The sequence below is a fragment of the Homo sapiens genome, chromosome 14, assembly GCF_000001405.40.
Source record: "Homo sapiens chromosome 14, GRCh38.p14 Primary Assembly".
In the NCBI taxonomy this organism is placed as follows: Eukaryota; Metazoa; Chordata; class Mammalia; order Primates; family Hominidae; genus Homo; species Homo sapiens.
The window spans coordinates 48551017-48576865 of NC_000014.9; the positions used below are offsets into that span (position 1 = coordinate 48551017).

Here is a 25849-nt window from a genome sequence, read left to right on the forward strand (position 1 = left end):
ATCTGTCCAATGCTGAAAGTGGGGTGTTGAAGTCTCCAGCTATTATTGTATTGGGACTCATCTCTCTTTTTAGCTCTAAGTATATTTCCTTTATATATTTAAGTGCTCCAGTGCTGGGTGCATATATATATTTAAAATTGTTATATCCTCTTGCTGATTGACCCCTTTATCATTGTATAGTGACTTTCTTTGTCTCTTCTTATAGTTTTTGCATTGAAATCTATTTTGTGTGATGTAAGTCTAGTGACTCCTGCTCCTTCTGGTTTCCATTGGCATGGAATATATTTTTCCATCCACTTGTTTTCAGTCAGTGTGTATCTTTTTATGTGGAGTGTGTTTCTTATAGGCAACAGATCAATGAGTCTTGTTTTTTTCATCCACTCAGCCAGTCTATGTCTTTTGATTGGAGAGTTTAGTCTATTTGTATTCATTGTTACTATTATTGAGTAAGAACTTATCCTGCCATTTTGTTACTCGTTTTCTGGTTGTTTTGGGTCTTCTCTTTCTTCTTTCATTCATTCTTTTCTCTAGTAAAGGTAATTTATTCTGATGATGTAATTTAGTTTCTTGCTTTTGATTTTTTGTGTATCCATTTTATGTTTTTTTGGTTTGAGATTACCATGAGGCATGCAATTACTATGTTATAACTCATTATTTTAACCTGAAAGCAACTTAACAGTATTTGCATAAACAAACACACAAACAAGAGAAAAGAAAACTAACAAAAACTCACTTTAAATTTGTCCCTGGGCTTTTTAACATTTTGTTATTTCTATTTACATCTTATTTTACTGACTATGTCTTGAAAAGTTGTTTTAGTTATAATTTTTCATTACTTTATCCTTTAGTCTTTCTAGTTAGGATAAAAGTAGTTTACACAGCACAGTTATAGTGTTATTCTATTCTGCATTTTTCTGTGTACTTACTATTACCAGTAAGTTTTGTACCTTCAGCTGATTATTCACTGCTCATTAATGTTCTTGTATTTCTGATTGAAGTACTCCCTTTAGCATTCCTTATAGGACAGGTCTGGCATTAATGAAATCCCTTAGCTTTTGTTTGTCTGTGAAGTCTTTATTTCTCCTTCATGTTTGAAGGATATTTTCACCAGAAATACTATCTGAGTTTAAAAGCTTTGTTTTGTTTTGTTTTTCCTTTAGCATTTTCAATATGTCATGTCACTCTCTCCTGGCCTGTAAAGTTTCCACTGAAAAGTGTGCTGCCAGATGTGTTGGAGCTCCATTGTATATTTATTTGTTTCTTTTCTGCTACTATTTTTAGGATCATTTCTCTATCCTTGACTTTGGGAGTTTGATCATTAAATGCCTTGAGGTAGTCTTCTTTGGGTTAAATCTGCTTGGTGTTCTACAGCCATCTTGTACTTGGATATTGATATCTTTCTCTGGGTTTGGGACGTTCTCTGTTATTTTCCCTTTGAATGAACTTTCTACCCCTATCTCCTTCCCTACCTTCTCTTTTAGCCCAATAACTCTTAGATTTGCCCTTTTGAGGCTATCTTCTAAATCCTGTAGGTATGATTCATTGTTTTTTATTCCTTTTTTCTTTTGTCTCCTCTGACTATGTATTTCCAAGTCTGTCTTCATGCTCATTAAATATTTCTTTTGCTTGATCCATTTTGATGCATTCTTCAGTATGCCAATTGCATTTTTTACCTCTGGAATTTCTACTTGATTTTTTTAATTGTTTTAAACTCTTTGTTAAATTTACCTGATAGAATTCTAAATTCATTCTATTTTTTATCTTGAATTTCTTTGAGTTTTCTCAACCAGTTACTTTGAATTCTCTGTCTGAAAGGTTACATATCTCTGTTTCTTTAGGGTTGGTCCCTGGTGTCTTATTTAGTTAACTTGGCCAAGTCATGTTCTCTTGGATGGTGTTAATGCTAGTAGATGTTCTTTGGTGTCTGGGAATTGTAGGGTTATATATTTATTTTAGTCTTCACTCTCTGGGCTTATTTGTAGCCATCCTTCTGGGGAAGTCTTTCCAGATATTTGAAAGAACTTCAGTTATGTGACATAAGCTGATTTTGCTTTAGGGGCACCCCAACCCCGGTAATGCTGTGGTTTTTACAGACTCATAGAGGTACTATCTTGATGGTCTTGGACGAGATCTGGGAGAATTCTCTGGATTACCAGGGAGAGACTCTCTCTTTCCTTACTTTCTCCAAAACATACAGAGTCTCTCTCTGTTCCGAGCCACCTAAAGCTGGGGCTAGAGTAAGATAAGCACTTCTGTGGCCACCACCACTGTGATTGTGCTGGGTCATACCTGAAGCCAGCACAGCACTGGGTCTTCCCCAAGGCCTGCTGTATCCAATCCTTGGCTACTGCATATGTTCCCTTAAGCCCTTGTGCTCCACAATCAGAGGTGGCAAAGCTAGCCAGGCCTGAGTCTTTCCCTTCATGGTGGTGAGATCTCCCAGGCCTGTGGTGAGTCTAGAAGTGTCATCCAGGATTGAGGGACTAGAGTCAAAAACCTTAGAAGTCTACCTGGTATTCTATTGTATTATAGCTGAGCTGGCACTCAAACCACAAGATGCAGTACTGTCCATTGATCCCTCTCTTTTTCAAAGGCAAAGGAGCCTGACCTCATAGCCACTGCCACCTTTGGCCATGGGGAGTACTGTCAGACTACCACCAATGTTTCCTTAAGGAACAAGGTCTCTTAAGTCAGCTTGTGGTGACTTAAGACAGCATTGTAGTGAATGCTGCCTACCCTGGTAGTTATCTTTCAGGGCAGTGGACTCCTCTCTGGCCTAGGGCAGGTCTAAAAATGCCAGACAAAAGTCAAGTCCTAGAATCAGGGACCCAAAGATGCTGCTTGGTGCTTCATCCCAATGTGGTAGTGTTGGTACGTAAGGTGTAAGACAAAGAAAGTCTTTTACTTTTACCTCTTTACTTTTACCCTTTACTTTTACCTTTACTTTTACCTCTTCTTTTCTCAAGCAGAGTTTTATCCTATAGCCACCATAGCTGGCAATGTGCTGAGTCTCATTTGAAGCCAGTAAGTTTCAGAGGCTCACTAAGGCCCTTGGTGTAGTACGTTGGTATGGTTGCTGGCTATTCAGGGCCCAAGGGCTCTTTAGTTAGCAGGTGATGAATGCTAGCAGGATTGGCTACTTTCCTTCATGCAGCAGGTTCCCTTCTGGCCAAGGATGTGTCTACAGATGTCTTCTGGGAGCTAGGGATTGGAACAGGGGCCTCCTGACTCTGACTGGTACTCTATCCTGCTGTGGCTGAGCTGGTGTCCAAGATGGAAGACAAAGTCCTCCCCACTATTCTCTCTTCTCCTCAAGCAGATGGAAGGGGTCCCTTTTGGAGCCATGAGCTGTGCAGCCTGGGGCTTGGGTAGAGGTGATTCCAGCACTCCCTTGACTTCCCCAGATGGTGTCTCAGTATGTTGCATGCCCTCCCAGTCCACTATCTCTCAGACTAGTTCAGTACTAGGACTAGCCTACAAATTGCAGTCCTTCTGGCCTAGACTGCCTTTCAAGTTTACTTACAAGATGAGAGCATTTTCGCCCTCAGTGTCAAGGTTTGGGGGCACTCAAGTTTGGACCACTGGGATCTGTGATTCTCCTGTGGCTAGGGCTGGTTTAACTGATCCCTCTGTGAGTGGGCATCAGCTAAGTTTGGTCTGTTTTTCTTTTTGCTCTAACAGAAAAGCACTGAGTTCAATGACTCACAATTGCTGTGCTTTCCATCTCCCAGCACATAGATTCTCTCTGCACCACTCTGCTGCTGCTGCTGCTGCTGGGGGTGTGGGAGGGGTGGCATCAGCAATTCAGGACTCTTTTTTTCTATCTCTTCAGTACCTCTTTCAGCCATATTAAGTTAAAAACAGGTACTATGAGTGCTCACCTGATTTTGTTTCTTATGAAGGTGTTAACTAGGTATCCTTACAGGGGAGACCATCAATGAAGCTTTTTATTCCAGTATCTCATCCCTCAGAATGCAGCTGTATTTATAAGTGCCAAAACTTGGAAGCAACCAAGATGTCCTCCTATGGATGAATAGATGAACAGTGGCACATCCACACAATGGAATAGTATTCAGAAGCAAAAACATATGAAATATCAAGTCACCAAAAGAGACACGGAAGACCCTTAAATGCACATTGCTAAGTGAAAAAGCCAGTCTGAAAGGCTACATATTGTATGACTCCAATGACATAAGAGTCTAGAAATAATAAAAAGATTAGTGGTTGCCAGGGTTTTGAGGAGGAGTGGCGAAGAATTAATATGTAGACTACAGGGAATTTTTAAGGCACTGAAATTATACTGTATGATAGTTTTATGGTGCTTATGATGACATTACGCATTTGTTAGAACACATAGAACATAAGCCTTAATGTAAACTGTGGACTTTGATTAATAGTGATGCATCAATTTTAATGAATGTACCACACCAGTGAAAGATGTTCGTAACAGGGAAAGTGTGGGTTAGTGTGACTGTGATAGGGAATACCTGGTAACTTTCTGTCCTTTCTGTTTGATTTTCCCTTAAACTTAATAATGTTCTGAGAATCAAATTTATTAATTGCAAAAAATAGCAACTTTTTAAAAATGGGAAAGAATTTGGATAGATATTTTTCCAAATGAAACTTACGAATTACAATATGCACATGAACATATTCACAACATCACTATTAGGTAAATACTAATCAGAACTACAATGAGATACCTCCTCACACAAACTAGGATGGCTATAATAAAAAAGATACACAGTAATAAGTGCCATCAAGGATACAACTTGGCTTGCTAATTCGTCCCTACTAGAAATATAAAATGTTGCACCCATTTTGGAAAATGGTTTGGCAGTTCCTTAAAATGCTAAACATAGAGTCTCCACATGGCCCAGCAATTCCACACCTAGGTACACAGTCAAGGGAAATCAAAACATGTGTTCACACAAAAACTTGTAATCACTGCTTAAAGTAGCATTATCCATAATAGTCAAAAGAGTAGGCATAAACTAACATCTATTTCATTAGGCCATTTTCACACTGCTATAAAGTTACTATCTGAGACTGGGCAATTTATAAACAAAAGAAGTTTAATTGACTCACAGTTCCACATGGCTGAAGAGGTCTCGGGAAACTTAAATCATGGTGGTAGGTGAGGGGAAGCAAGGCACGTCTTACATGGTACCGAGAGAGAGAGCACAGGAAAAAAAACTGCCGCCTTTAAAACCATCAGATCTTGTGAAAACTACATCACTAACACAAGAATAGCATGGGGGAAATCACCCCCATGATCTAGTCACATCCCACCAGGTCCTTCCCTCGACATGTGGGGATTAAAATTCAAAATGAGATTTGGGTGGGGAAAGAGCCAAACCATATCATCTATCAACTGATGAATGGATTTAAAAAATGTGGAATATCTGTATAATGCAATATTATTTAGTCATAGAAAGAAATTAAGTACTAACATATGTATTACATTACGCTAAGTGAAAGAAGCCGATCATTTAAGACCACAGATTTTATAATTCCATTTACGTAAAATGTTCAGAAAAAAATAAATCTATGGCAATAGAAATTAGGGGCTGTCAGGGACTAGTGGTAGGGGGGAATAATAAGTGATTGTTTATGGGTATAGAATTCCTCCTTGGAGTGTTAAAATGGTCTAAATTTAATTACAGGGATGGACCCATTTAATGGTTGAAATATAGGATATGTTAAAATCAGGAGGACAGCCTTCCCTACTGCTATTGTTGATTAGTAAGAAAGCTGAATCAGAGAACAAAGGGTTGACTCAGGCTTCCACTCGACCGTGGTTCTCTGAGGCTAGCAATTGGTTGGCTTTACATCATTATAAATAATAGCTGGTAAATAAATATTTGTTACTTTTTGACTTTCTGACTAGTCGAATGACAATAAATTAGTAATCACACTGGGAAATAGAGATAGTGCTCCCTCCAATTTTTTTTTGAAGGAATGAAGGGATTTATTGAAAATGAAAGTACACTCCACCATGTGGGAGTGGGCCCAAGCATAGGGGCTCAAGGGCCCCATTATAGAAATTTGGGGAGTTTAAATGCCCTCTAGAGGATTCCATTGGTTACTTGGGGTATGCTGTATGTAAATGAAAATGATAAAGTCACAAAGTTATTTACTTGGCCTATTCCCTATGGAGAGGATATTTCCTGTCATAGCCAAAGCGTAAATTGGCCTTATGTTCCCTGCGTCCAGACCCTATTTTCCTGCCTCATCTACCCACTGAGAGATGTGATCCCCGTCAATCTTTATGGGAGGCAGAGAAACTGATAGTCTTTTTTCTGTAACTGCTTCATGCTGGCTTGGGGCATAGTCCCTACCTGATGGGGATCATGGAACTCTCGTCCTGCTCTGTCTAGAGAAGGCAGGGTAGCTCCTTGAAGGCCAGGGGTGCTGTCTTCACCTGCAACTGGCTGGAGCCTTTGTTGCCTGATCATCTGAAGCTTGATGGTCTCTAGATGAGAGGAAATGAATTTGGTTAAAAGACTTAATGAGAACTTCCGGGGGACTTCATAGATAACTATGCTGTCAAGAATGTTTGTTATAGAGATTTGCAGGAGAAAAAGCAAAACCTAGTCTGCTCTAGAATCTATGTGTTTCCTTAAAGTCTTAGTCCAAACGACTTCATTTTGGTTTGGTTTGGTCTGTTAGGGCCTAGTCCATGAGCTTAGTCCAAAAAAATGGCCTCCCAGAATTTTGTTTAAAAAAACTCCCCCTTTTTGGTGAAGTTCTCACTTAGGTGATGGTGTGACCAAAACTTAGGGCCTTAGTGCCACTCTCAGTTACCATCATTTTGGGTTTCCGGTCCCAGCACATCATTTATAGGCTATAGTGGCCTCATGGGTGCACATTTCTTTAGCTTCTGTCATTCCAGTTGAAGAGAGACCATATGACATTCTACAGATGGCTGCATGAAAGCATTTCAAACATTTGAGAGAATACAGCACACCAGGAAGACTATTATTATGACTATTGGGAGAATTAATAACAAGAGTTTGGAGTATGCTTCTTATTCAAGGTCCCCACAAGCCAAACCTCCTAAAATCAAATAGAGCAAAGAATGAGCTAGATAAAGAGTTTACTCACTTAACTAAGCAGTCTCTTTGCTAATCCCGTACCACTAAATTTCTATAATCTTCATTTGATGTATTTCTCCATAGGCCACAATGGCTAGCAGCTGTACAGATACTTCTTTGTTTAGCCAATTCTATCATAACTCTCACAAAAGAATTTAAAGTCTGTTGTATAATTGAGGACATTATAGTAGAATTTGGTATAGAGCCTATCATGGGGAATACATTTCTAATCATTGCCTCTTTTACTTTAAACCATGGATAAAGGACCTAACAAATGATACCCTTATAGAAGAGTGAAGGCCTCCTGGTAATGTTCTCTTTAACCCACGATGTGGGCTAAATGTTTTCGTTTTAACTGATTATGAGGCAACGTATGTACCATTAAAGTTTCTTACCTACATTGGGCCTTCCTCTGCTGGAGACTAAATGAGAACTTAGAAAATTTTAGGATTAGTTGGATACTGTTGTTTATGGAGAGACTCTTATGCCCTAAAAACAAAACGCTTTTGCAAAAAGCTCATGCAAGACGGGCCAAACTCCCTCAGTTGGCAATTACCAGAAATCCAACAGGTGGAAAGGTTAAAACATCTATTAGTAACTGCTCCTGTCCTAGCTCTACTCTCCTCAAGCAGCCATTCCATCTTTTTGTCAGTGTAAGCAAGGGCATAGCATTAGAAGTACTTACCCAAAAGCATGGAGGCCACTGACAACCCATAGCCTTCCTATCAAAAATCCTTAACCAAGTAACCTGTGGATGGCCCAAATGCATTCAATCTGTAGTGGCAACTACTTTGCTAACAGAAAAAAGTAGAAAAATAACTTTTAGAGGAAACCTCATTGTGAGCACACCTCACCAGGTCAGAACTATCCCAAGTCAAAAAGGAAAAAGGTAGCTTACTGACTTAAGAATCTTAAAGTAAGAGGCTATTCTGTTAGAAAAAGATGATTTAACATTAACCATTGATAATTCACTTAACCCAGCAGGTTTCATAACAGGGGATCTAAATCTAAAGAGAAAATACACATGTTTAGATTTAATTAATTACCACACAAAGGTCCAACCAGACCTAGGAGAAACTCCCTTCAGGACGCGATGACACTTATTTATAGATGGCTCCTCCCAGGTGATTGAGGGAAAAAGACACAATGGGTATTCAGTAATTGACAGAGAAACTCTTGTAGAAATAGATTTAGGAAAATTGCCTAATAATTGGTCTGCTTAAATGTGTGAGCTGTTTGCACTCAGCCAAGCCTTAAAGTACTTACAGAACCAGGAAGGAATCATCTACACTGATTCTAAGTATGCCTTTGGAGTGGCTCACACATTTGGAAAAAATTTGGACTGAATGAGGTCTTATTAACAGCAAAGGATGATTAAAATCCCAAACTTACAAGGTTTTAAACAAAAGTAAAGTTTGCTAAAAGTTAACAACGTAACATGTATCATCCTAACTTCTAATCTTGTGGCCTTAGGCAGTCTAGTCCACATACATGAAGGAAGTCTGCTTTGGAAAAGAATGGTTATCATCTTTGACATTAAAAAAGAGGAGAATTTATGTAAAAAGAATCTTAAGTGGTAAATTCTTGTCCTAAAGTAAATTAACTGGTTGTTTAAAGAAAGGGATGTTTACATCAGAAAGTTAAGGCATGTCAAAGATTGTCTGTGAAAGTCATGAAAATGTTATAAAAGATAATTTATGCAAGAAATGTTGTACAATTTGAAAGTAATTAGGCCTCCTGAATGTAAAACTATTGAAGAGACAGTTTATGTGCAAAGTGTGTAAGGAAAGTAAAATATACCTTAGGTAAAAGGATTATAAGGAGGCATAAGAATGCGGACTTTTACCTACATTAAAAGATTTAAAAAAAGTTTTGAAGGTTTAAGCAAGTTTTGAAACGTTAATTGTAAAGGAAATTCTGTGTGTAAACATATTGGCTAAAGTTAAAGGGGTATCACCCCGCCCAGTTTTTCTGTGAACTGGACATTAAAATAAAAGCACAACAGGCTTTTCTTAAAGCACTAACCTGCTCTTTAATAAAAATTATAAAGGGTTAAAAAGAGTCTATAAAAATCTTACCTTATGGTCAGACATTAAAATTGGATAAATATGTCTACAAGGTTTTATTAAAATTGAGTTTAACATTAATAATACACTAATATAAAGGTAAAATTTAGTTCATCTGGTATAAAAATCATACAGGAAGCACTGTCAAATATAAAATGGTGTTTGGCTTTGTTTGGTCTAAAAACTAATAAAAACAGGTGCTAAAGAGAATTCAAAAGGGAAATGGGTACTGCTAGACCAGAGAGAAATGTTATCCAAACCCCTTATGAGGCAAATCTTGTTCCAACTGCATCAAGGGACCCATTGAGGGCCCCAAGCCACATGTGACGCAGTTCTCAGAGTTTATGGGTGCATAGGAATTTATACCCCGGTGAAACAGTTTAAGGACGGTTGCTTAGTATGTAAGAAAACCAATAAACAAACTATAAAAAGATTACCCCTTGTGGGACAGAGTCCAGGCTTAAGGCCATTCCAAAGTATACAGATTGATTACACAGAGATGCCTCCAATTGGTCGTCTAAAGTATTTATTAGTAATACATCACATTACTCATTGGGTAGAAGCTATTTCCATTTCAAGTACAACTGCTAATAATGTAGTCAAGGCATTAGTTGAAAATATCATACCCAAGTTTAGATTAATAGAAAACATTGATTCAGATAATAGGACTCATTTAACTGCACATGTTATTAAGAAATTAGCCCAGGTATTGGATATAACATGGGAATATCATACTCCCTGGCACCCACTTTCATCAGGAAGAGTGGAAAGAATGAACCAAACTATAAAAAAAGCCACCTAACCAAATTAGTCTTAGAGATGATGCTGTGGGAAGTCAGGGACCCTGAATGGAGGGACTGGCTGAAGCCGTGGCAGAAGAACATAAATTGTGAAGATTTCATGGACATTTATCACTTCCCCAATCAATACTCTTATAATTTTCTATCCCTGTCTTTACTTTAATCTCTTAATCCCGTCATCTTCATAAGCTGAGGATGTATGTCAGGACCCAGTGATGTACAAATGTACAAATTGCGTTAAATGTACAAATTGTTTGTAAAACATGTGTGTTTGAACAATATGAAATCAGGGCACCCTGAAAAAGAACAGAATAACAGTGATTTTCAGGGAACAAGGAAGGATAACCATAAAGTCTGACTGCCTGCAGGGTTGGGCAGAATACAGCCATATTTTTCTTCTTGCAGTGAGCCTAAAAACAGACATATGAGTAGGAGAAATATCGCTGAAGTCTTTTCCTCCAAGGAATATTAATAATTGATAACCCTGGGGAAGGAATGCATTCCCAGTAGTAGGACTATAGACAACCACTCTGAGAGTGTCTGTCTTATGCAGTTGACATAAGGGATGAAATACACCCTGGTCTCCTGCAGTGCCCTCAGGCTTACTAGGTTTGGGAAATTCCAGCCTGGTGAATTCTAGTCAGACTGGTTGTCTGCTCTCAAACCCTGTTTCCTGTTAAGATGTTTATCAAGACAATGCATGCCCAGCGGGACATGCACCCTCATCAGTAATTCTAATTTCACCCTTGCCTTGTAATCCTGCTCTGCCCTTTTGCCTTGTGATCTTTTATTGCCCTTTGAACCATGTGATCTCTATGACCCACTCCCTATTCGTACACCCCTCTCGTTTTGAAATCCCTAATAAAAACCTGCTGGTTTTGCGGCTCGGGATCACCATCATGGTCCTACCAATATGTGATGACACCCCCAGAGGCCCAGCTGTAAAATTTCTCTCTTTGTACTCTTTCTCTTTATTTCTCAGACCGGCTGACACTTGGGGAAAATAGAAAGAACCTACATTGAAATACTGAGGGCTGGTTCCCCCGATAGACTCGGTTACCATGAACAAGATGCCCTCCCATTGCCCTGTTGAGAATCTGAACTGCTCCTTGGAGAGATGTTGGCTTATCCTCTTAAGAAATGTTGTATAGATTGCCCTGCTTGCACTCCACTGGAGACATTCCCACGTTCAAAACAAAAGATCAGTTTCTCAGAAATTATATACTTGGTTTATATTCCACTTTCTCTTCCCTCAGCACTAAAGGCCTTTTGGCACAGGTACCCCCACAGTGTTTCCAGTACACCAACATCAGCCTGAGGACCATGTCCTCCTCAAAAGTTGGAGGGAAGGAAACCTCGGATTGGCTTGGGAAGGACCCTACCTAGTGCTTCTAACCACCGAGACAGCAGTTCAAACAGCAGAAAGAGGATGGACTCATCTCACCTGGGTCAAAAGAGCACCACCCCCTCCAGAATCATGGACAGCTATTCTAGGGCCAACTCCACCCAAGCTAATGCTAAAAGGGGTTTGATCCTCTTATATTGCATCTCTTTCTTTTCCCCTTCTATTGCTAGTCCTCTCGTTATTAATGTAACTAGGACAATTTCACCCCAAACTATTACTTTTGATGCTTGCCTTGTGATGCCCTGTGGAGATTTACCAAATCTAGCATTCCATCAACAGGATAAAAAATAAAATCATAAAAGAAGAAGTGCCTTACATGAGTCCTTTGACCCCCATGTTGATATAAATGCTATTGGAGTTCCGTGAGGAATACCAGATAAATTTAAAGCCCAAGATCAAATAGCTGCGGGATTTAAGTCAATATTTAAATTAATAATATAGATTGGATAAATTATGTCTATTATAATCAGCAGTGGTTTATTAATTACACAAGGGATGCTGTCAAACGGATAGCAGAACAATTGGGGCCCACTAGCCAGATGGCCTGGGAAAACAGAACGGCCCTAGATATGATATTAGCCACAAAAGGCACTGTTTGTGTTATGATTGAAACTCAGTGTTGTACCTTTATCCCAAACAATACTGACCCCACTGGGAGCATAACAAGGGCCTTACAAAGACTTATTGCTTTATCCAATGAACTAGCTAAAATTCTGGAGTCGATAACCCTTTCTCAGGGTGGCTAGAAAGGTAGTTCAGTAAACGGAAAGAATTCATAAACTCAATTCTTACTTCTCTTGCAGGAATAATAGGTGTACTTATTCTTGTTAGGTGTTGTGTCATACCATGCATCCGTGGACAAGTGCAAAGACTTATAAAAGCAGCACTTACTAAAACCTTCCTTAACTCTCCTCCACCTTATTCAGATAAGCTTTTTCTTTGAGAGGATTAAGTAGAGCAGCAAAGCTAAGACATATTTAAAAAGTTTGAAGAGGAAGTGCTATGAAAATTGAAAGGGAAATTGTAGGATATAATAAATTCCTCTTTAAAGGTTTTAGCCTGTAAATTGTTAAGTACAATGAGTTCTGAGATCCTCTCCAAAGAACCAGTGTATCAGTATGCTCAGCTTCCCTGTTCTTTGTTCTTCACTTTAAAGTTTAAGATCCTCATTCTTTTGTCTCCTTGCCCCTAGTTTCAGTAAACAACTCCCTCCTAGTCTCTACCACCTGCTCCATCCTGAGTCACCCCTGGTCACCTGCTCCATCCTGAGTCATCCTGAGTCACCTGTTCAGTAACCGTCTTTCCTACCAAACTATTCATCCCGCCACTCTGACTCATACCCCTGCTCTCTTTAAAATAGTGAATCGGAATTAGCTTAGACTGTGCAGTCCAACCCTAGCCAACAGGGGAATGACACAGCACTAGGGGCTACCTCCCTCAGGAATAAAAACCCCTTTCCCTCCCTTGTTTAGCTGTGCTCTCTCCATTGTTCCATCTGCAAGTCAGACCCTTCTATAGAAGTAAAATTGCCTTGCTGAGAAAATTGAATATATGTTTGAGTGCTATTTCTTTTGTGGCACCAAAAATTTATTTCTGACATATTTAACCAGTTTGCACAGAGAGAAAGAGGCAAGATACTGACTGGTAAGAAATCCTTGCCTTTTGCCAGCATGCCAGGTTTCTGGGTTCTCTCTCCCTGAGTGGCCCTAGCAACCCTGCTATACTGTATGCAAACAAACCCCTGCCATGAATTAAGAATATTCACAAGTAGTATATGAATTATGAAGAAATTGGGCAGAAACAGAAATATAACTCAAATTCTATTTACAAAAGTATACTCAACATGCTTGAACATTCAGGAAGCCTAAAATCCAAAGTTAGGTTAAAAGGCTGGTGTGCTCTATCAATTCTTGCAGACCAGACAAAGGCAGCCAAGGAATTCAAGATAAATGGAGAGTAAACAGCAAACAAATGAAAACTAGAATCAAAAATAAATAAACCAGAAACCAACTCTAAGTTTTCCTACTTAATTTACCTTGGAGGCTACAGTGTTACGTAGGTTCCCAGAAAACCTGCATAATGAATATTTCATTATTGATATAGAATTCAATATCCTTAAGTTCACCAATATTATTATACCTCCTGTGCAATCAAGAAATTCACTTTAAGCACATGACCAATAGTTACTCTAGCACTATCCATGCAAAATGGTAGACATAGTGTGAAGCAATGCAAGCACGTGTGTGAAATTTGGCTCTACACGAAATCCAGCTTCATGCTTAACTATTTTAAAAAAAGAATTGCCAAACTGCAGATGCATTTCTTGACAAAACTTCTTACTTTAATCAAGACTAAGAGCTTTAACTATGAAAATGTTAATTAGCCAAATGTCTCCAACTCTCTATCAGGTTTTAAAGAATATTTTATTATTTAAACTTTTTCCACATCTTTCTCCCCTATTTAATGGTTCTTTACTACACTGTTTCATAAATAACCTTTTCAAATCTATAACTTGAAATAACTTTTAGATAACTTCTGAATTAGACAAAATTATTCTTTTTCACTAATAACATAACCTTTTCTGTCACATTTTGTATACAGAATTATGTGTTAACTAGAATTTTTATCTTAATAACCTTAAACATTAGCAAAACCCTAAAAAGCAAGAAATCCTGAACTATCAAATATGGAAATTTATAGATAAGAACAATTCTACAATTTTAGAAACATGTTTCCCCATACCACAATCCCTTCTTAATTGGAAATGTCCCAGATATTAAATGAGCATCAAAAATAACTTTTTAAGATTTTAATTTATGCAAAAATTTTACCTGAAACATTTATCCCATTCTCTGTACTTAATTTTTACTTTTAACGAGGAAGACATGAGACATCAATCAATATATGTAAAATCAACATTGGTTCAGTCCAGAAAGACAGGACAACTGGAGGCGGGGAGGGGGCTTGGGGGCTTTCAAATCACAGGTAGGTGGGAGACAAGCGTAGCATTCTTTAGAGTTTCTGATTAGCCTTTCCAAAGGAAGCAATCAGATATGCATTTATCTCAGTGAGACTTTGAATAGAAAGTGAGGCAGGCTTGCCCCAAGCAGCTCCCAGCTTGAATTACCACTGACATTTAAAAATATCTAGCAAATACAAACATAAAATTCAGACAAAATTCTGGAGGCATTTCTATTTTTATGCCACCAATAGTTTTAAAGCTAGCTTGTTTAGTAAAGTTATACTTTAAGTCATGTGAATTTGAAAATTGCTTAGACTTATTTTACTTATGAGTGCTCTTTTACTTATAAGACAGTTCGGTAGACACAACATATAACAATAAGGGCACATGCAAATAAACACATCTAGACAGGTATACACATGCATAAATGAAGATCCAATAGCTTGGAACCTTAGCCATGGAATAGCAATGCCAAGCTTGCCAGTTTTACCTTGTCCCAATAGATAACCCAAGGAAAGCTGTGAACCAAAATTTTGGCCACAACATTCTCCATGGCAGTTTGATTTTTAAAGGCCAAACCTCCCCAGTCTCCAAAGAGCACTGGGGCCCAACAATACCAAAGGAGGACGTCACACATTAACCAGGCCCCCTGCTTAGGACAGCAGCACAAAAGCTTGCATACATGCAACACCATTTCACTTTCCCACTAGACAGTAAACTCCAGATTCTAAAGAATGTGGGGGCCAAGCAGCCTTGCAACTGTAAAAGAAAATTCTAAGGAAGGCTTATTACTAGACCTCAGAACCTCTACCGAGAGGGTCTCCTTTGGGGAAGCTAAGGTCCTCAGGATCCCCCAGAGCATCCTCCTTTGGGGTCCAAACTTAAGAGTGTCAGACGTCTCTGACATTAGGTGGGTACCAGTGCCACATGCAGGTTTCCCTCCAGAGCCTACTAGGAGCTTCATAGGCATAGCCATGAACCGTAATGAGAGGAACTGGATGCTGGGTGGGCTTTTTTGTCCTTAGCCAGTTGAGTATGACAAGGAAAGAATTTAGCTTAAGAAAAGGAGGTTTAAGTCACCTGAAACATGTGCGAGTTTGGCTGAGCTGTGCCACATGTAGGGATCAGTGACCAGACACAGAAAAAAATAAAAAAACAGAGTCCTTCCCACTTCTGGGCAGGGCAATTATTCCCATTCATTCCTAGGCCTTTAGGCAGTACCAAGGAGTGACCCCAACCAATTGCCCTCAATTTCCAAGGAGCTACTAGGAAACAGTCACTGAAAGACTGAAAAAGAAAGAGAGGGACAAAAAATGAAAGATACAGGTATCTCAAGCGACCTGGGTGGTGGTGGTTTGGCTTATCCACATGGAAACCCTAGTTTCCCCGGCCATGGCCAGAAACCTGCAGTTGCTTCCGTGTTTACACGCTACCCACCAAGAGTCCTGAGTTTGAAATTAAAAGACACAGAGAGAGAAATTCCCCTGTATGGAGCAGAAAAGAAAAGGAGAAAAGAGAAAAACAAATTCCAAACTTCGGGCTTACCTCTTCCTCCTGGCTGGCTCACCAAAATAGGACACCGGTGGAGGGTGTCCAGGCTCTTGGTGTCTGCACTACGAATTGGACAAAATGCACACATAAAGCAAGGAAAGAATGAAGGGTTTTATTGAAAATGAAAGTACACTCCACACTGTGGAAGCGGGTTCAAGGATAGGGACTCAAGGGCCCCAAAAGGATTTTGTAAAGGGAGTAATCACCTGCATCTACAACAGAATAAATGAGTGCTTTAAACCTCAGCTAAGTCAGCTTCAAAATAAAATAGAAAATATACAAAATTAACACACACCAAAAAAGTATTTATGATACTAAATATAAAAAGCGATAGGTTTTACTTGTAAAGTTTATCTATTATGCTAAGATTTTAAATGGAGATAAACTTGTATTTAAAATGTCTAGCTACTTCATTCAACAGTGTATTTTTTAAAATTTTAGATTGATTCTTCATGTAAGGTAGCAATTTGCAAACATCACATAATTTGTACCAACATAAATAAAATTACATTTAACAGCATTAGAATAAAATGTAAATTTACTAAATGGAACTGTAATTCTCTGACGTGTTTTAATTTAAATGTTTACATGTTTTTCTTCTAAAAAACATTTTGCAACCATAATTATTTAATGTATTTAAGGGAGATTTCATGAAGATAGGAATTTTATTTTATGTTGTGTTTTAGACATACTTCATGTTCCTGGCACACATTAGGCACTAAATAAACTTCTTTTACCATTTGATCAATTGTATTTTTTCATATTTCTAGGTGACCCCCAGTTAATTTTCTCTTACGCTGCTTGTAGATCACCCTTTTAACAACTACTCGTCTTTTTGAGATTTTCATTCTGTTTATCTCTTTCTGGTTTTGGATAGTCTGCTAAAATAAAATCCTTCCTGAGCTTTTATCTGCTTAATGTATTCCCCCACTGACATTGCCTTGAGCTGTAATTTGCATCCTGTGGTTCCTGCACACAGAAATTTCCATTTTGCTTTACTTAAAAAATTATTAGCAAATTAAACCACACATTTTCAATACTAAGTAATTGGTTGTTGCTGTTATATATTGTAGGAGATACAAAAGTATTTTGTAAAAAATGGTTTCTTTCAATAACCTGAAAATGTAGTGAGACAGACAAAATTACAGAAAAAAATATAAAAATATTTGCCTCAAAATGGCAGTTCTGTGACTATATGGGACAGAGCTGAGGAGACAAAGCTCTGTGTGGGCTGATTTTATTTCTCTTTACCTTTAGCATGAAGCCCATACTTTTACTTCCTTACTTATCCTTCTCTTTTTATGTAAGATAATTTTTATTTTGTTTAAAATTACTGTCATGGAAAAGTAAAACATACGCAGAAGAAAGAATACTAATAAACATGATGAACACATCACACAGCTTTAGTGATTATTGCCTTAATGCCAATTCTATTTTATTTATACCTCACCCACTCTCTCCATCCTCTTACTAGATCAACCTGTAGCAAATTCCAGATATTACATCATTTGTAAATGTATCAGTTTGGATCTCTGAAAAGATGGATTATCTTAAAAGCAGTAATTATGTCACTATTGTACTTATAAAAAGGAAACAATGATTCCTTAATATCAAAATCTATTCAGTATTCAAATACCCCAGTTGTCTTATTTTTACAGTACTTTTATTTGAATCTGATTCCAAACAAGTTCTTATATTTGAAATTGATTGATATCTCCCTAAGAGTATTGATACAGGTTGAATTTCTAAAGTTAGAAATGAATTCCTTTTACATGAGAAATCTTTTGTTAAAGCCTGTGCTTGAAAACATATTTAGCATTGGCTATAACTCCGTGAGGAAAATTGAGATATCAGAGTATGATTTCTGGAAGGAATCATTCCTGCTTCACCGGTTTCTAGATGAGAGATTGAACTAAGAAGCCTAGAACTTCTTGCTAATCAATCACTCAGACACAGTTGTCATTCTGATTGTATTCCCCAAGAGAGTGCATTGCTAAAGTAGTTGTGAGTAACTCTCATGCCATAGGCATTCTTGGTCCATTTTTGTATGAGTGTGGGCTGTTACAGGAAATTCTTCTCTTTAGATAATAATATTTATTCAATATATGCCATCACAGCCTTATGTAATTTTTTGTGCAAGGAAAAGAAGTGTAGCACAATCTAGCAGCAATGATTGGAAATAACTCTTGAAATGTCAAGGACTTTCTCTTTAAATGATAATTAACAGATTAAATGCCAACAAGTACATTTAATAACCATGATATTTTGTATTTGGACCATAGCCAAAATAATCAGTAAATGTAGTCACTTAAGGATCTCAGATATCTGATCTTGATTTGAAATGTTACTTATTCATGTATATTTTAATTACTCAGCAGTAACCTCCACTATATAAGGTATGTGTAGTGAGTATTAAAAAGTTTACACTGCATTTAATTTTCTAAATAACAGAAAACTATTTGAAAGTAAATTGTATGTCATAGTAGCTTTTGCCTTAGAAAACATTTATTGAAATCATTGTATTGCATGACCATAAAAATTCAAGTTTTCTAAATTCATATCCAATGCTTTAGAAAATACAAACATTATATTAGTTAATCAATCCTTATCTCTTCCAATGACTATTTAATGCCTGCTTTATGCCAGGCACTATCCTAAAAAGGCATAAAGTACAGACAAAAATGAAATTCCTGCCTTCATGGAGCCTCTCCTAAATAACCCTGCTAAACAAAGAAGGAAAAATAAAGAGTTCTCATCAACATTTCTGGAAAAAAAAAGTGTGTATTTACTAAATATCTAGCACGTTCCAGGCACTGTGCTAAGCCACAAACACAGATAAGTTTGAAACATTCCTTTCCTTCAGAATGGTATGGGAAACTAATAGAACACAGTCATAAATAAGTAGCAGAAAGGAAAGAATCATAACGTGAAAACTCAGGGTGATTGGTAAGAACACTTGGCAGAAGATGATGAAAGAAAAGGGACTACAGAGAACCTGGAAGGATATGGGAAGATAACTTTTTCACCTTATTTTGATGATAAATTCTTGGACAAATAGATTAGATAAAATTTAGTTAGCTTTTAGTTTGCTATAGATTGAAGCATATGACAAGCTATTAAGAGCGACAACTTCAGATTGCTAAGCGTGGGAGTTGAAATGCACTTTAACAGCTAGGAAAGTCAAAGCAATAAGGTATGCTGAAATGAAAAAAGTTTGCTAAATCAATTCAAGTTGAGGCAGCATTTGAAGTAAATCAAAATTTACAAGGCTCTAACAAATGGATATCTGATACTACAATTGAAAAGATGAAAATTAAGAAGTTTTTCCTAAGTTTTTCTTTTTTTTATTTTACTTTAAGTTCTAGGGTACATGTGCACAACATGCAGGTTTGTTACATACGTATACACGGGCCATGATGATATGCTGCACCCATTAAAGTATCATTTACGTTAAGTATTTCTCCTAATGCTATCTCGTCACCCTCCCCCGACTCCATGACAGGCCCCGGTGTGTGATGTTCCCCACCGTGTGTCCAAGTGTTCTCATTGTTCAATTCCTGATGAGTGAGAACGTGCGGTATTTGGTTTTCTGTCCTTGTGATAGTTTGCTGAGAATGATGGTTTCCAACTTCATCCATGTCCTTGCAAAGGACATGAACTCATCCTTTTTTATGGCTGCATAGTATTCCAAGTAAGTATATGTGCCACATTTTCTTAATCCAGTCTATCATTGATGGAAATTTGCATTGGTTCTAAGTCTTTGCTATTGTGAGTAGTGCCGCAATAAACATATGTGTGCATGTGTCTTTATAGCAGCATGATTTATAATCCTTTGGGTATATACCCAGTAATGGGATGGCTGGGTCAAATGGTATTTCTAGTTCTAGATCCCTGAGGAATCGCCACACTGTCTTCCACAATGGTTGAACTAACTTACACTCCCACCAACAGTGTAAAAGTGTTCCTATTTCTCCACATCCTCTCCAGTACCTGTTGTTTCCTGAATTTTTAATGATCGCCATTCTAACTGGTGTGAGATGGTATCTCATTGTGATTTTGATTTGCATTACTCTAATGGCCAGTGATGATGAGCATTTTTTCATGTGTCTGTTGGTTGCATAAATGTCTTCTTTTGAGAAGTGTCTGTTCATGTCCTTCACCCACTTTTTGATGGGGTTGTTTGATTTTTTCTTGTAAATTTGTTTAAGTTCTTTGTAGATTCTGGATATTAGCCCTTTGTCAGATGGGTAGATTGTAAAAATTTTCTCCCATTCTATAGGTTGCCTGTTCACTCTGATGGTAGTTTCTTTTGCTGTGCAGAAGCTCTTTAGTTTAATTAGATCCCATTTGTCAATTTTGGCTTTTGTTGCCATTGCTTTTGGTGTTTTAGACATGAAGTCCTTGCCCACGCCTATGGCCTGAATGGTATTGCCTAGGTTTTCTTCTAGGGTTTGTATGGTTTTAGGTCTAACATTTAAGTGTTCAATCCATTTTGAATTAATTTTCGTATAAGGTGTGAGGAAGGGATCCAGTTTCAGCTTTCTGCATATGGCTAGCCAGTTTTCACAGCACCATTTATTAAATGAGGAATCTTTCCCCATTTCTTGTTTTTGTCAGATTTGTCAAAGATCAGATGGTTGTAGATGTGTCATATTATTTCTGAGGGCTCTGTTCTGTTCCATTGGTCAGTATCTCTGCTTTGGTACCAGTACCATGCTGTTTTGGTTACTGTAGCCTTGTAGTATAGTTTGAAGTCAGGTAGCGTGATGCCTCCAGCTTTGTTCTTTTGGCTTAGGATTGTCTTGGCAATGTGGGCTCTTTTTTGGTTCCATATGAACTTTAAAATACTTTTTCAAAATTCTGTGAAGAAAGTCATTGGTAGCTTGATGGGGATGGCATTGAATTTATGAATTACCTTGGGCAGTATGGCCATTTTAAGGATATGGATTCTTCCTATCCATGATCATAGAATGTTCTTCCATTTGTTTGTGTCCTCTTTTATTTTATTGAGCAGTGGTTTGTAGTTCTCCTTGAAGAGGTCCTTCACATCCCTTATAAGTTGGATTCCTAGGTATTTTATTCTCTTTGAAGCAATTGTGAATGGGAGTTCACTCATGATTTGGCTCTCTGTTTGTCCGTTATTGGTGTATAGGAGTGCTTGTGATTTTTGAACATTGATTTTGCGTCCTGAGAGTTTGGTGAAGTTCCTATCAGCTTAAGGAGATTTTGGGCTGAGACAATGGGGTTTTCTCAATATACAATCAGGTCATCTGCAAACAGGGACAATTTGACTTTCTCTTTTCCTGATTGAATACCATTTATTTCTTTCTCCTGCCTGATTGCCCTGGCCAGAACTTCCAACACTATGTTGAGTAAGAGTGGTGAGAGAGGGCATTCTTGTGTTGTGCTGGTTTTCAAAGGGAATGCTTCCAGTTTTTGCCCATTCAGTATGATATTGACTGAGGGTTTGTCATAAATAGCTCTTATTATTTTGAGATACCTCCCATCAATACCTAATTTATTGAGAGTTTTTAGCATGAAGGGTTGTTGAATTTTGTTGAAGGCCTTTTCTGCGTCTGTTGAGATAATCATGTGGTTTTGGTCTTTGGTTCTGTTTATATGCTGGATTACATTTATTGATTTGCGTATGTTGAACCAGCCTTGCATCCCAGGAATGAAGCCAACTTGATCATGCTGGATAAGCTTTTTGATGTGCTAGTGGATTTGGTTTGCCAGTATTTTATCGAGGATTTTTGCATTGATGTTCATCAGGGATATTGGTCTAAAATTCTCTTTTTTTGTTGTGTCTCTGCCAGGCTTTGGTATCAGGATGATGCTGGCCTCATAAAATGAGTTAGGGAGGATTCCCTCTTTTTCTATTGATTGGAATAGTTTCAGAAGGAAAGATACAAGCTCCTGCTTGTACCTCTGGTAAAATTTGGCTGTGAATCCATCTGATCCTGGACTTTTTTTGGTTGGTAGGCTATTAATTATTGCCTCAATTTCAGAGCCTGTTATTGGTCTATTCAGGGATTCAACATCTTCCTGGTTCAGTCTTGGGAGGGTGTATGTGTCCAGGAATTTATCCATTTCTTCTTGATTTTCTAGTTTATTTGCGCAGAGGTGTTTATAGTATTCTCTAATGGTAGTTTGTATTTCTGTGGGATCAGTGGTGATATCCCCTTTATCATTTTTTATTGCATCTATTTGATTCTTCTCTCTTTTCTTCTTTATTAGTCTTGCTAGCGGTGTATCAATTTTGTTGATCTTTTCAAAAAACCAGCTCCTGGATTCGTTGATTTTTTTGAAGGGATTTTTGTGTCTCTATGTCCTTCAGTTCTACGCTGACCTTAGTTATTTCTTGCCTTCTGCTGGCTTTTGAATGTGTTTGCTCTTGTTTCTCTAGTTCTTTTAATTGTGATGTTATGGTGTCAATTTTAGATCTTTCCTACTTTCTCTTGGGGGCATTTAGTGCTATAAATTTCCCTCTACACACTACTTTAGTTGTGTGCCATAGATTCTGGTACATTGTGTCTTTGTTCTCATTGGTTTCAAAGAACATCTTTATTTCTGTCTTCATTTCGTTATTTATCCAGTAGTCATTCAGGAGCAGGTTGTTCAGTTTCCATGTAGTTGAGCAGTTTTGAGTGAGTTTCTTAATCCTGATTTCTAATTTGATTGCACTGTGGTCTGAGAGACAGTTTGTTATAATTTCTATTCTTTTACATTTGCTGAGGAGTGCTTTACTTCCAACTATGTGGTCAATTTTGGAATAAGTGCAATGTGGTGCTGAGAAGAATGAATATTCTGTTGATTTGGGGTGGAGAGTTCTGTAGATGTCTATTAGGTCCGCTTGGTGCAGAGCTGAGTTCAATTCCTGGATATCCTTGTTAACTTTCTGTCTCGTTGATCTGTCTAATGTTGACAATGGGGTGTTAAAGTCTCCCATTATTATTGTGCGGGAGTCTAAGTCTCTTTGTAGGTCTCTAAGTACTTGCTTTATGAATCTGGGTGCTCCTGTATTGGGTGCATATATATTTAGGATAGTTAGCGCTTCTTGTTGAATTGATCCCTTTACCATTATGTAATGGCCTTTATCTCTTTTGATTTTTGTTGGTTTAAAGCCTGTTTTATCAGAGACTAGGATTGCAACCCCTGCTTTTTTGTTTTTCATTTGCTTGGTAGATCTTCCTCCATCCCTTTATTTTGAGCCTATGTGTGTCTCTGCACATGAGATGGGTCTCCTGAATACAGCACACTGATGGGTCTTGACTCTTTATCCAATTTGCCAGTCTGTGTCTTTTAATTGGGGCATTTAGCCTATTTACATTTAGGGTTAATGTTGTTATGTGTGAATTTGTTCCTGTCATTATGATGTTAGCTGAGTATTTTGCTCATTAGTTGATGCAATTTCTTCCTAACATCAATGGTCTTTACAATTTGGGATGTTTTTGCAGTGGCTGGTACTGGTTGTTCCTTTCCATGTTTAGTCCTTCCTTCAGAAGCTCTTGTAAGGTAGGCCCAGTGGTGACAAAATCTCTCAGCATTTGCTTGTCTGTAAAGTATTTTAGTTCTCCTTCACTTATGAAGCTTAGTTTGGCTGGATATGAAATTCTGGGTTGAAAATTCTTTTCTTTAAGAATGTTGAATATTAGCCCTCACTCTCTTCTGGCTTATAGAGTTTCTGCAGAGAGATCTACTGTTAGTCTAATGGGCTTCCCTCTGTGGGTAACCCAACCTTTCTCTCTGGCTGTCCTTAACATTTTTTCATTCATTTCAACCTTGGTGAATCTGACAATTATATGTCTTGGGGTTGCTCTTCTCGAGGAGTATCTTTGTGGCATTCTCTGTATTTGCTGGAATTTGAATGTTGGCCTGCCTTGCTAGGTTGGGGAAGTTCTCCTGGATAATATCCTGAAGAGTGTTTTCCAACTTGGTTCCATTCTCCCCGTCACTTTCAGGTACACCAATCAGACGTTGATTTGGTCTTTTCACATAGTCCCATATTTCTTGGAGGCTTTGTTGATTTCTTTTTACTCTTTTTTCTCTAAACTCTCATCTCACTTCATTTAATTCATTTTATCTTCAATCACTGATACGCTTTCTTCCACTTGATCTAATCAGTTACTGATGCTTGTGCATGTGTCATGTAGTTCTCGTGCCACGGTTTTCAGCTCCATCAGGTCATTTAAAGTCTTCTCTGTGCTGTTTATTCTAGTTAGCCATTTGTCTAATCTGTTTTCAAGGTTTTCAGCTTCTTTGTGATGGGTTCGAACATCCTCCTTTAGCTCGGAGAAGTTTGTTATTACCGATCTTCTGAAGCCTACTTCTGTCAGCTCATCAAAGTCATTCTCCATCCAGCTTTGTTCCGTTGCTGGTAAGGAGCTGCATTCCTTTGGAGGAGAAGAGGTGCTGTGATTTTTAGAATTTTCAGCTTTTCTGCTCTGGTTTGTCCCCATCCTTGTGGTTTCATCTACCTTTGGTCTTTGATGATGGTGACCTAGAGATGGGGTTTTGTTGTGGATGTCTGTTTTGTTGATGTTGATGCTATTCCTTTCTGTTTGTTAGTTTTCCTTCTAACAGTCAGGACCCTCAGCTGCAGGTCTGTTGGAGTTTGCTGGAGGTCTACTCCAGACTCTGTTTGCCTGGGTATCACCAGCAGAGGCTGCAGAACAGCAAATATTGCAGAACAGCAGATGTTGCTGCCTGATCCTTCCTCTGGAAGCTTTGTCTCAGAGGGACCGGGCTGTATGAGGTGTCAGTCCCCGCCTACTGGGAGGTGTCTCCCAGTTAGGCTACTCGGGGTTCAGGGACCCACTTGAGGAGGCTGTCTGTCCGTTCTTAGATCTCAAACTCCATGCTGGGAAAACCACTACTCTCTTCAAAGCTGTCAGACAGGGACGTTTAAGTATGCAGACGTTTCTGCTGCCTTTTCTTCAGCTATGCCCTGCCCCCAGAGGCGGAGTCTACAGAGGCAGGCAGGCCTTGTTGAGCTAAGGTGGGCTCCCCCCTGTTCGAGCTTCCTGGCCACTTTGTTTACCTACTCAAGCCTGAGCAATGGCAGATGCCCCTCCCCCAGCCTTGCTGCCACCTGGCTGTTTGATCTTGGACTGCTGTGCTAGCAGTGAGCAAGGCTCTGTGGGCATGTGACCCACCGAGCCAGGCATGGGATGTAATCTCCTGGTGTGCCGTTTGCTAAGACCATTAGAAAAGCGCAGTATTAGGGTGGAGTGTCCTGATTTTCCAAGTACCATCTGTCATGGCTTCCCTTGGTTAGGAAAGGGAATTCCCCAACTCGTTGCACTTCCTGTGTTATGCGACACCCCACCTGCTTCAGGCTCACAGTCTGTGGGCAACACCCACAGTCCAACAAGTCCCAGTGAGATGAACCCGGTACCTCAGTTGGAAATGCAGAAATCACCCATCTTCTGCATTGCTCATGCTGGGAGCTGCAGGCTGCAGCTGTTCCTATTTGGCCGTCTTGGTACCACCCTCCATAAGTTTTTCTTTTAAAAAAAACTTAAAACTTCATATTAGAATCAAAAAGGTATTTAAAGGTATTTCTTCTGGTAATTTTTGGATTTTATCATGTTTTGTTTTGTTTTCTTTCTCACAAGGGGCCACATTTTCCCCATATCAAAACTTTTGCATATACTCTCTCCTAGTCCTAGAATGGTCCTTCCACCCACTGTCTATAAATTTACACTTAATTCCTTAGGAAGACTTTGTTGACCTCAGATCGATCAGCATTGTCACCTCCACGGAAATAATATACTTCTTTCAAAACATAACTGGACATTGAAAGTATTGATTAATGTCGACATCTACTGCACTATAATTTCCATAAAGGTAACAACTCAGTTTGCTCCCCATTGTCTTTCCAGGACATTCGCAGTACATAGTAGAGAATAGAACTTCAGTGAACACTTGCTGGATAAATTAGTTGAGACTATTTCTTCGAGCTTGCT

At 38.5% G+C, this 25849-nt stretch overlaps 1 long non-coding RNA gene across 1 annotated transcript in view, besides 2 other annotated features; it reads right to left on the reverse strand.

Annotated features, from left to right (window-relative positions):
* LOC105378178 (uncharacterized) overlaps positions 1-25849 on the reverse strand; it is an 894025-nt gene that overhangs the window by 157018 nt on the left and 711158 nt on the right. The window lies entirely within an intron of this gene.
* Positions 10364-10935: an enhancer, noted in NCBI's record as "OCT4-NANOG hESC enhancer chr14:49030583-49031154 (GRCh37/hg19 assembly coordinates)". NCBI's record gives its function as "activates a minimal SCP1, AML or CMV promoter by ChIP-STARR-seq in naive H9 embryonic stem cells {active_cell/tissue: H9 hESC(naive)}" and the evidence as "EXISTENCE:reporter gene assay evidence [ECO:0000049][PMID:30033119]".
* Positions 12127-13326: an enhancer, noted in NCBI's record as "P300/CBP strongly-dependent group 1 enhancer chr14:49032346-49033545 (GRCh37/hg19 assembly coordinates)". NCBI's record gives its function as "activates an origin of replication core promoter dependent on BRD2, BRD4, P300/CBP, MED14 and CDK7 cofactors, with strong dependence on P300/CBP, by STARR-seq in HCT116 cells {active_cell/tissue: HCT116}" and the evidence as "EXISTENCE:reporter gene assay evidence [ECO:0000049][PMID:35650434]".